Source organism: Homo sapiens, chromosome 14, assembly GCF_000001405.40.
Source record: "Homo sapiens chromosome 14, GRCh38.p14 Primary Assembly".
Lineage (NCBI taxonomy): Eukaryota > Metazoa > Chordata > Mammalia > Primates > Hominidae > Homo > Homo sapiens.
In genome coordinates this window covers 92,748,628-92,760,635 of record NC_000014.9, presented here as the reverse complement: position 1 = coordinate 92,760,635, position 12,008 = coordinate 92,748,628, and the positions used below count along the sequence as shown (strand labels likewise).

Sequence of the window (12,008 nt, the reverse complement as noted above, 5' to 3'; positions counted from 1 at the left end):
AAGGCAGGCGTCCCCGCAGTGATCGAACACCTCTGGAATGCTGGTGAATAATCAGGCAGGCGTCCCCACAGTGATTAGACACCAAGGGAAGACTGTCTTTCCGAGTCCGTGACCAGCGCTGGCGTTTTGGGTCCACGGATAAAACATGTCTCCGCTGTCTCTACCAGAAAGGGAAAGGAAATGAAGGGAGGGGAGAGAGAGAGTGAAGGGTGATGCCGAAATTGAAAGGAGAAAGAGGTTGAGAGAGAGCGAGAGAGGTTGGAGAAGAGAATAAAAAGAGGCCGCTCACCCGATTTAAAATTGGTGAGGTGTTTCTTGGGCTGGTCTGAGGACCCGAGGTCATAGGTGGATTCTCTCACAGAGCAAAGAGCAGGAGGACAGGGGATTGATCTCCCAAGGGAGGTCCCCTAATCTGAGTCACAGCACCAAATGTCAAGCACGTCGGTGTGAAGAAACCACCAAACAGGCTTTGTGTGAGCAATAAAGCTTTTAATTCACCTGGGTGCAGGTGGGCTGAGTCCAAAAAGACAGTCAGCAAAGGGAGATGGGGAAGGGGTTGCTTTATAGGAGTTGGGTAGGTAATGGATAATTACAGTAAAAGGTGGTTATCTATTGTTAGTGGAGGAGGGGGTCACAAGGTACATGGTGGGGAGATCATAAGACTTACTATCCAGAAGAAGAATGCCACAAAGTTGATTGATAGCTAAGGTAGGGCAGGGACAAGTCACAATGGTAAACTGTTGTAATTTTGGTTAATCAGTTAAGGCAGGATCTGGGTGTTTTACTTCTTTGTGGTTTTTTGGCTGCTTCAGACTTCTCGGCTCCTGCAGGCCACCTGGATGTGTATGTGCAGGTCACAGAGGTTATAATGGCTGAGCTTGGCTCAGAGACCTGACAGTCCTATCATTGATACAGGAGTTAAGAAGAAATTACATAGGCAGATAGTGAGGGTATGAAAGTCCTCAGTAAGGTTTTCCTTTTAATGAAAAGCAGCCCCAAATTATTTTCCTTTCTAACAAAGTGGGGCCTATAAAATCGAGCTGCAAACATAGATGCCAGCAGTTGTGCCAATCATGTTCAAAATAGTGGCTCCATCTTCCCTTTTTTGCCAGCCACGTGTACAGTAAGGAGCAGACAAGATGGCACTGGCCAAGGGGAAAGTTCTTGTGCATAATAAGACTGGGTGGGGGCGTGGCCAGCCTTCTCCACCCACTATGTAAATGTCATGCCTGATTGAAGCAATCTGTGAGCTCTATGTAAATCAGACACCGCCTCCTCAAGCCTGACTATAAAATCCAGTGCATTCACCACCTGCTAACCTTTTCCTCTGGGAAGTCTCCTCTCTCTCACTAAAGAGAGAGAGAGCTGTTCTCTGTGTCTCTTTCTTTCCCTTTCTCTTGCCTATTAAACCTCCTCTCCTAAACTCCTCGTGTGTGTCCATGTCCTAAATTTTCCTGGCATGAGATGATGAACCCCAGGTATTGATTTACCCCAGACAATGTAGCCACTTCATCATCGCATCTCCTTCTCTTAATCTGATCTTCCTCCTTTCTTTATAAGGGTCCTTGTGATTTCACTGGGCCTACACTAGGTAATCCAAGATAATCTCCCATCTCAAAGTCTTCATCACATTGGAAAATGCCTTTTGCCATGGAGGGTAATATATTCACAGATTCTGGGGATTAGGAAGTAGACAATTTTGGGAGGAGGCAATATATGGACTGAGTCCCAGGAACTCGCATTTCTAACAAGCCCCCAGGTGATGCTGGCTCAAGGACCACACTCTGAGAACCACTGGGGTAGACTAACTACTGTAACAAGTAGCCCCAAAATATATAATGGCTTAAACACAATATTGGTTTATTTCTTGTTCACATAACAGTCCTAGGTAGGTGAACATGTATTCCAAATAATCACACAGGAACTCAAGCTGAAGGAAGTTCTGCTAACTTAACACATGGCTTCCAGGGCCATTTCAGAAGAAGGAGTGTGGAAGAACACAGTGAGAAGAGTTTATGGGCCGGGCCTAAAAGTGGTTCCTGGTCTCATAGGAATTGAGATTCTTACATTTTATTGGCTGAAACTCAGTCACACGCCCACAGCCAACTGTGCCAATAGCCAAATGTGATCTAGCAATGTGCCCAGGAGGAAGAAGAGAACATAGATTATAATAAGAGATGGCAGTCTCTGTTCCAATGTCAAATACTGTACAAAATATAGAGGGCTCATTATCAACCTCAAGATTGCTCTTAAAAGATCACAATGCCAATCCAAATCTGAGTTTGTATTAGCCTGTTCTCACGCTGCTAATAAAGACATACTTGAGACTGGGTAATTTATAAAGGAAAGAGGTTTAATTGACTCACAGTTCAGTGTGGCTGGCGAGGCCTCAGGAAACTTACAATTATGGTGGAAGGGGAGGCAAACATGTCCTTCTCCATATGGCAGCATGGAGGAGAAGTATGAGTACCCAGGGAAGGGGGAAGCCCCTTATAAAACCATCAGATCAATAATAGAATTTAAAAAAAATCAGATCTCGTGAGAACTAACTCACTATCATGAGAACAGGATGGAGGAAACTGCCCCCATGATTCAGTTATCTCCACCTGCTCCCTCCCATGACACGTGGGGATTATGGGAACTACAATTCAAGATGAGATGGTGGGAACACAGCCATACTATATCAGAGTTTTACTTTTCAAATGGTTGAGGCACTTGTCTAAGAGTGGGAGGACATGTGGGCAGTGTCTGGGGAGGGGAACTGGTGGGGCCCATGGATCAGGGTGGTCCAGAGCTGCCTGGGGCTTCGAGAGGTGGGACACATGATGGGGAAATGCAGCTCCAAGGGTTCTTCCAGTGACAACAGAATACAGGAGCCAAATCTCATCCCCTTTGTATTTATTCAACCCCACTACAAGCTCTTTGAAATTCCCCATCGTGTGTGCATAGTGCTGACTGCACAGTAGGAGTTTGTATTAGTTTCCTATTGCGGTATAAGAAATAGCACAAGTTATTTGTCATTAAAACAACACCTATCTATTATCTCAGTTCTGTGGGTGAGAAGTTCAGAGGAATGCACCTGGGCTTTCTGATTAGGATCTCACAGGCCAAAATCAACAGATTGGGCAGGGACAAAGATTCTCTACTTGATCAAATTTTGGTCAGGCTCCTGAACCTTCTCCTAGGCCTGTCTATGCCCTTCCTTGTAAAATCCAGTTTTAGTAAGAACCCTGCTAAGTCAGTTTGGCAAGAACCCCTCATCCTCCATATCTGATCACCCTCGATAGCAGATCTATCTGATCGTGTTCCTCATCCTCCCTCATCTTCCAGGTGATGTCCAATAACTTAGTCTGTCTTCAGCAAAATTCCTGTTAGGTAGGTTTAGCCAGAATCCCCCTTAATCCTGATATTTCATCTTAGTAATTTTTTATCCACTGTCCCCCACCCTGCTTTTTGGTTATTGCTATGGTTTGAATGTCCCCTCCAAAATTCATGTTGAAATTTAATTGCTATTTTGATGATATTAAGAGATTGGGGCCCGGCGCTGTGGCTCAACGCCTGTAATCCCAGCACTCTGGGAGGCTGAGGCATGCAGATCATGAGGTCAGGAGATCAAGACCATCCTGGCCAACATGGTGAAACCCCGTCTCTACTAAAATACAAAAAATTAGCCAGGCCTGGTGGCATGCGCCTGTAGTCCCAGGTACTCAGGAGGCCGAGGCAGGGGAATTGCTTGAACCCGGGAGGCGGAGGTTGTGGTGAGCCGAGATCGCACCATTGCACTCCAGCCTGGGTGACAGCGCAAGACTCCATCTCAAAAAAAAAAAAAAAAGAGATTGGAAACTTTAAGAAGTGATTAGTCATGAGGGCTCTGCCTTCGTGAATGAATTAATGCCATTATTGCAGGAGTGAGTGAGTTCTTGTGGGAATGAGCTCCTGATAAAAGAAGGAAGTTTGGTCCACTTCTTTCTGTCTTTCATGCCCACTCACCACCATGTGATGCCTTCTACCATGTTATGTTGCAGCAAGAGAGCCCTCACCAGATGTGCCCTCAGTCTTGGACTTCCCAGCCTCCAGTATCATGAGCTAAATAAATCTCTTTTCTTTATGAATCACCCAGCATGTGGTATTCCGTTTTTTGTTTTTTGTTTGTTTGTTTGTTTGTTTTTTGTTTTTTTCCCGAGATGGAGTCTTGCTCTGTTGCCCAGGCTGGAGTGCAGTGGTGCAATCTCGGCTCACTGCAACCTCTGCCTCCCAGGTTCAAGTAATTCTCCTGCCTCAGCCTCCTGAGTAGCTGGGACTACAGGCATGCGCTACTATGCTTGGCTAACTTTTGTATTTTTAGTAGAGACAGGGTTTCACCATGTTGGCCAGGCTGGTCTCAAACTCCTGACCTTGTGATCCACCTGCCTTGGCCTCCCAAAGTGCTGGGATTACAGGCATGAGCCACCGTACCTGGCCAGGTATTCTGTCATAGCAACAGAAAACAGACTAAGGACAGCTGTAGAGTCCTACTTGCTGTATTTGGAGTTGAGTCCAATCTCTTTCTTTCCTACTGCAAAATCCCATTGCAGCAGTCCCTGTATCTCGAGGGTCCTGAATAAAGTCTTCTTTACTTTGTTTTAACAAGTATCATTGAAAAATGATTTCTTTGACACCATTCTGGGCTCTTCTCTGGAGGCTCTGGGGAAGAATCCACTTCCAGGCTCCTTCAGGTTGTTGGCTGAATTCCATTCCCTGCCATTGTAAAGCTGAGGGCCCCATTTCCTTGCTGGCTGTCAGTCAGGGGCTCTCTTAGCTCCTTAGGGCGGCCAATATGCCCGTGACCCCTGTAACTTCAAACCACCAGTGAACCTCTCTACTACCAGCAAGAGAAAACTCTCAGCTTTAAGGAGCTCATGTGATTAGAGTAGGCCTGCCTGCCCCGATAATCTCTCTTTTGCCAAAACATGACATAATCACCAGAGTGAGATGTCATCATATTCTGAGGTTTCACCCATTCTCAAAGGGGAGGAGATTATGCATAGATGAGTGTTATTGGGGCCACACTTAGAATACTGCCTACCACAGAGTTAATTAATGTGTATTGATTGACTGGAAATCCTTAAAAAACAATGAGGAAGAAATGGTGTCTCTTCTGTGCAGAGGAGCACAGCATACTTCCCTTCCATTCATCATAGCATGGAATTGAGTTGACATATATTCACTGGGCACTGACTATATGACAGGTATTATTTTGAGCATTGGGGGTATAAAAATAAATAAGATAGGCTGGGCCCCTGTTTTTAAACAGTTTAAATTTTAGTGGTGAGCCAGGAAATAAACAAGCAAGTGTACATAGTCAGGTAGTAAAGCAAGGTTGAAGGCTGAAGCGTGATGGAGGTTTGTAGCTGTTTTAGGTCCATGGCTCAGGACAGCCTAAGAGGGATGTGCCATTTGGATAGAAGCCAGCTGTGCAACTGGAAGGGGAAAGGCATTCTAGGAACTGGAAACTGCAAATACAAAGACAAGAAGGCCATTGTGGCTGGAGTGGAGCAGGTGAGGTAGCAGTAAATGAGGTCATGGGGCTAAGCAGAAATCAGGTGATATTAACTGGGCAGGATCTTATTTTAGGAAGGATGGAACAAATAAGCTGGAATTATGATGAAAACTTTTAGAAACAGTGGTGATGGCTGCACAACAATGTGGATTTAATTAATGCCACTGAACTACACACTTAAAAATTATTAAAATTACATATTTTATGTTATATATGCATTTACTACAATTAAAAAACTTAAAAAGAAAATTTTTAATAAAGAATAAATAGTGCTTGGTCAGAATTTTTTAAAAAAGGGAGCCGGGGACCAGAGGAAACAGCATAATTAAATACACAGGAGAAGTTAAAAAAAAAAATCCCCTGAAGGAGGCCCAAGGGAAACTTCTGGAGTGCTCCTAGGCTCAATTTTCTGAGTGTTGATTATCTGGGTGTTTCATTTTCTGAAATTTTATTTATTGAGCCATGCATTTATAGTTTGAGCATTTTCCCCTATATTTTATACTTCAATTGAAATATTCACATTTGACTCCATCTATGGTGGGGAGAATTGACTGTGGCAACCCTGAGAGAGGAGGCGAGTGGCTGATACTTATGCACTTGGTAAGCAGCTGACACATGGTTAGACCCTGTTCTTAGGTTTTTTTTTTTTTTTACATATACTAACTCATTTCATATTTGCAACAACCCAATGAAATAGAGCACTGTAACTATGATTTCCTATTTTATAAATGAAGAACCTGAAGCATAGACAGGTATAATAATTGTCCAAGGTAACACAGTCAGTAATTGCCAGAGCTGGAATATAAACCCACGCAATCTGGATCCAGAGCCCACACCTTTATTTTTTAAATTTTATTTTACTTTTTGGAGGCAAAGACTTGCTCTGTTGCCCAGGCTGGAGTGCAGTGGCGTGATCTCAGCTCATTGCAACCTCCGCCTCCTGGGCTCAAGCAATTCTCCTGCCTCAGCCTCTTGAGTAGCTGGGACTACAGGTGCACACCACCACACCCAGCTAGATTTTTGTATTTTTAGTAAAGATGGGGTTTCACCATGTTGCCCAGGCTGGTCTTGATCCTGAGCTCAAGTGATCTGCCCACCTCAGCCTTCCAAAGTGCTGGGATTACAGGCGTGAGCCACCGCGCCCAGCCCAGAGCCCTCACCTCTAATCATTACATCAAGTGAAATGAATGAATGAATATGTTAACTCCCTCTAGAAACCAGTGGTTCTCAACATGGGGGGTGTGGCGCACATTTTGCCCACCTCCAGGGTATTTTTGGGACTGTCTGAAGGCATTTTTGGTTCTAACAACTCGGAGGAGGGATGCTAGTATCGTCAGGTGGGCAGAGGCCAGGGATGCTACTAAACACTCTGCAATACACAGTACAGCTCCCCCGACAACCAAGAATCAACACCCCCCAAAACCAAACCAAACAGAAACCCACAAAAACAAAAGCAAAGAATTACCCACTCCCAAATGTCCATAGTGCTGAGGTAGTGTATTAGTTCTCACACTGCCATAAAGAAATACCCGAGACTGGGTAATTTATAAATAAAAGAGGTTTAATTGGCTCACGGTTCTGCAAGCTGTACAGGAAACACATTGACTTCTGCTTCTGGGGATTCCTCAGGAAGCTCCCAATCATGGCGGAAGGCAAAGGGGGAACCAGCACTTCACATGGCTGACGCAGGAGGAAGAGAGAGAGCAGGGAGGTGCCATGCACTTTTAAATGATCTGACCTCGGGAGAACTTACTATCTCCAGAACAGTACCAAGGAAGATGGTGCTAAACCATTCATGAGAAACCATCCCTATGATTCAGTCACCTCCCACCAGGCCCTACCTCCAACCTTGGGGATTACAATTCAACATGAGATTTGGTGGGGACACAGATCCAAACCATATCAGGTAGAGAAACTCTTCTCTAAACCTAACCAATACATTTCACACTCTCCAATTGTTGTTGCTTTATAATCTTAACCTCTCAATCTCCCATTATTAGATTTTTCTTTTTTGAGACAGGCTAGAGTGCAGTGGTGTGATTCAGCTCATTGCAACTTCTGCCTCCTGGGTTCAAGCAATTCTCCTGCCTCAGCCTCCCTAGTAGCTGGGATTACAGGCACGCGCCACCACGCGTGGCTAATTTTTTGTATTTTTAGTAGAGACGGGATTTCACCATGTTGGTCAGGCTGGTCTTGAACTCCTGACCTCAGGTGATCTGCCACCTCAGCCTCCCAAAGTGCTGAGATTACAGGTGTGAGCCACCGAGCCCAGCCTCATTATTAGATTTTTTTAAAAGATTCTTATTCTGAAATTACTCCTTGGTGCTATTGTCTCTGCTGATCAGTTATCTGCCACATTCTCATGATGTCACTTATTCATACCTGGCACCAGTCTCACTAACCTCTGGTTGCATGATATGGTAGCAAAAGTCCCAGACATGACTTTTCTTGTGAGAATTCTGCTGGGGGCATTTGATGGAGAGGTCCTCATGCCTATCTAAACACAGGGAACCTGCCACCTTCCTGCCACCTCCCCCTTCCTGCCACCCAGGGCTATTTCAGTGCCCACCTCTGCTCCTGGTGTTTCCTGTGAGCTCAGCACTTTCTACACTGTACTGTCATCCCATGAGCAGAAACAGGAGCACGGGCACTTCCCAAGGCCACAGATTCCTGCCTTGTTTTCCTCAGTGGAATTCTCAAGTTACAACCCAGCAGCCAAAGGGATCCTCTGAACCCAGGGAGTAGCTAATGAGTATGGGGCACTGACTTGGTCTAAGCACTGCGTGAACAAATTTAATCCACAGAGAGACCTTATGAAGTAGGTATTGTTTTTTCCATTTTACACTTGGGAAAAACCAGGCGCTGAGAAACTAAGTAACTTGCTCAGCTCACACAGCTTGTAAGTGGTAGAGTTGGGATTTGAATCCAGGTACCTTGATTGCAGAGCTCAACATATGCACCCGACCCCTACTCCAGGCCTCTCTCATCTCAGCCTCCTCCCTGCTGCTGGCCTAAGCCTCTTTTGGGGCTAGCCTGCACCATCACCGTGGCAACCTCCAGTAACCCCTCCCATTAGCCCACAACTTGCAGCCACCCTGTCTTGTTCACACTTTGAGCTCTCAGCCCACACTGTTGCTGAGGGGGACCAAGAGGGTTATCTCTTGTCCTGTGTTTGCTTAAACATGCCAGGCATCAGGCTACTGTTTTTATTTAGAGACATGGTCTCACCGTTGCCCAGGCTGGAGTGCAGTAGTACGATCATAGCTCACTGTAGCCTCTAGCTCCCAGGCTCAAGTAATGTTCCTGCCTCAGCCTCCTAATTAGTTGGGACTACAGGCGTGCACCATCACATGCGGCTGATTTTTTAAATTTTTGATAGAGACAAGGTCTCACTATATTGCCCAGACTGGTCTTGAATTCCTGGCCTCAAGCAATCCTCCTGTCTTAGCCTCCCAAAGTGATGGGATTACGGGAATTAGCCACTGCACCCAGCTGCAGGCTACTATTTTTATCCCAACTTCAACCGTTAAAGCCTTAATCAGGCAAAAGCCAGGATTTATTCTCAATTAGGGATTGGTTAAGGACACACTCTGCCTCACTTCCTAGACAGTGAATTCCTGAGGGGAAGGAACAAACTCCTTTTCATCTCAATGCTCAGCTGCACCTGGCATAAAACGTGCACCTACTAAATGTGCTGTGGAATAAACAGATGAATGAACTCCTGATGCTCCCCATTGCAGAAGACTGCGAAAGCATAGCACTCATGAGAGTTGGCAAAGGACTTGGGCAGACCTGGGCTTGAAGCCCAAGGTCACTTTGAAGCTATGATGCTGGACCATGTACTTAACCCAGGGCTTGGCAACTTCCCTTGTGTGAAGAGTCAGACAGCAGACATTTTCAGCTTTGTGGGCCATAAGGCTTCTCACATAGCTATTAATACTCAACTCTGTGTTATTTGTAAAAATAGCCAGAGATAATGTGTCCGGAATTGGTTCCTTCTGTGGGTTCTTGGTCTCGCTGTCTTCAAGAAAGAAGCTGCAGACCCTCACGGTGAGTGTTCCTCTAAAAACGAAACCAAACCAAGAAACTGAGTCTTGCTCTGTCGCCCAGACTGGAGTGCAGTGGCGCCATCTCGGCTCACTGCAAGCTCCACCTCCCAGGTTCACACCATTCTCCTGCCTCACCCTCCCCAGTAGCTGGGACTACAGGCGCCCGCCACCACGCCCAGCTATTTTTTTTTGTATTTTTAGTAGAGATGGGATTTCACCATGTTAGCCAGGATGGTCTCCTGACCTCATGATCCGCCCGTCTCAGCCTCCCAAAGTGCTGGGATCATAGGCATGAGCCACCGTGCCCGTGAGTTACAGTTCTTAAAGACGGTGTGTCTGGAGTTCGTTCCTTCAGATGTTCAGCTGTTTCCTGAGTTTCTTCCTTCTGGTGGGTTCGTGGTCTCACTGACTTCAGGAGTGAAGCCGCAGACCTTGGCAGTGAGTGTTACAGCTGTTAAAGGTGGCAGGTCCGGAGTTGTTTGTTCCTCCCGGTGGGCTTGTGGTCTCCCTGGCTTCAGGAGTGAAGCTGCAGACCTTCACAGTGAGTATTGCAGCTCATAAAGGTAGTGCAGACCCGAAGAGTGAGCAGCAGCAAGATTCACTGCAAAAACCAAAAGAACAAACATTCCACAGCACAGAACAGGACCCCAACAGGTTGCCGCTGCTGTCTCGGGTGGCCAGCTCTTATACTCTTATTTGGCCCCACCCACATCCTGCTGATTGGCCCATTTTACAGAGTACTGATTGGTCCGTTTTTACAGAGTGCTGATTGGTGCATTTATAAATCTTTAGCTAGACACAGCACTGATTGGTGTGTTTTTACAGAGTGCTGATTGGTGCATTTACAAACCTTTAGCTAGACACAGAGCACTGATTGGTGTGTTTACAATCCTTTAGCTAGACAGAAAAGTTCTCCAAGTCCCCACCTGACCCAGAAGCCCAGCTGGCTTCACCTCTCAATAATACCTAAGTCAATGGGTGTGGCTGTGTTCTTATAAGCTTTTATTTACAAAAATAGGTGACAGCAGTGTGCTGATCTATAACTTACTGTAAAAAAAAGATTGTAGAAGAAGACCACATGAGACAACCCATGAAGGTAGCCCGAACTCTTGTGCTGGAATGTCCTTGAGCAGGAGTGCACATACTACATCACATTAATTCCATTTAACTCAATTGACTGAGCCTCACTACATGGCACTCGAATGGATCGTAGTTTGTTTTTCTCTCAAGTTTCTTGGGAGGCAATGCCACCAAACATTTGAGAAGTAGCATTGTGAAGGAAGTAAGAGGTTGGGATTCTGGAACCATACTGCTTAGGTCATAGTTCTGGCTCTGACACTTAAGACATATGTGACCTTTGCAAAATTAACTTAACCTCCCTGACTTAACCTCCCTCAGTTGCCCTATCTGTAAAGCTTGGGTGACAATAACTGTCTTTCTCTCTCAAAGGGTTGTTATGGGGACTAAACGGGTCCAAATCACCTGAGGCTTTCTAAAGATTCCAAAACCCAGACCACATACAAACCAACAAAATCACAATTCCTGGGGGTAAGGCGGAGGTGTCAACCTAAAAGAAGAGTTTATTTAGGCGTAAAGTGTGAGGATGGACCACCCAGAAACACCAACTCCAAAGGAATGGATTTGGCATTCTAAAATAGGGAAGTTAAGGTTTCATTTATATAGGTAGAGATAGGAATTTTGAGCAGGATAACAGTATTCCTACAAGGTTGGCACACAGGTACAGCAATTTGATTGGTTATTGGTTTCTTTTTGGGAAGGGAACATTGAACATTTTTTACATAGGGTGTAATAATCATAGGTTTTATGTCTCTGGTCTAAGCAAAACAGGATAACAGAGGGAAGAAGTTATAATCTATAACAAGGTTCATTACTTAACAAGGCAGGAGCTTTTGTCCCTGAAGCCGTTTAATTCTTCCTAGACATCGTTCAATAAAAGAAAGCGAGAATATAATGTGGGAATAGAAGTTGTAAGCATACGTGACTGACATTACAGTCAGTTCAAGGCTTAAAATATTTTTTCGGTGGGGGGGTTCCAACAGCTTTTCAATTTTATTTTCACAGGGGCATCAGTATTTTTGAGGCTTTCCTAAGTGGCTCCAATGTGCGGACAGGTTTGCTCCAAGAGCTGGTATGATCTTTCGGTAGATGCTTCTGGAATCACCGCGCCCCCAGACCTCAAGTACCTCGGATTCCCCACCTCACTTCAGTGCGCAACTACTGCCCCTCCACCCCCGCGCCCAGCCCAGAAGCCCCTGCCCATGCACACTGGGATTTGTAGTCCCTTTGGCTCGCCGGCCTCGTCCTCTCCTCCCATTGGTTTTGGCAGATGCCACGCCCCATAGCTCCACCAGTCACCGCGGCACAGTGGCCCTTAAGCGAGGAGCGGCGGCGCCCGCAGC

General features: G+C 45.7%; 1 annotated feature.

Moving 5' to 3' along the window:
• Positions 5,338-5,632: a silencer, noted in NCBI's record as "tiled region #3328; HepG2 Repressive DNase matched - State 9:DNaseU". NCBI's record gives its function as "represses a minimal TATA promoter and a strong SV40 promoter by Sharpr-MPRA in HepG2 cells {active_cell/tissue: HepG2}" and the evidence as "EXISTENCE:reporter gene assay evidence [ECO:0000049][PMID:27701403]".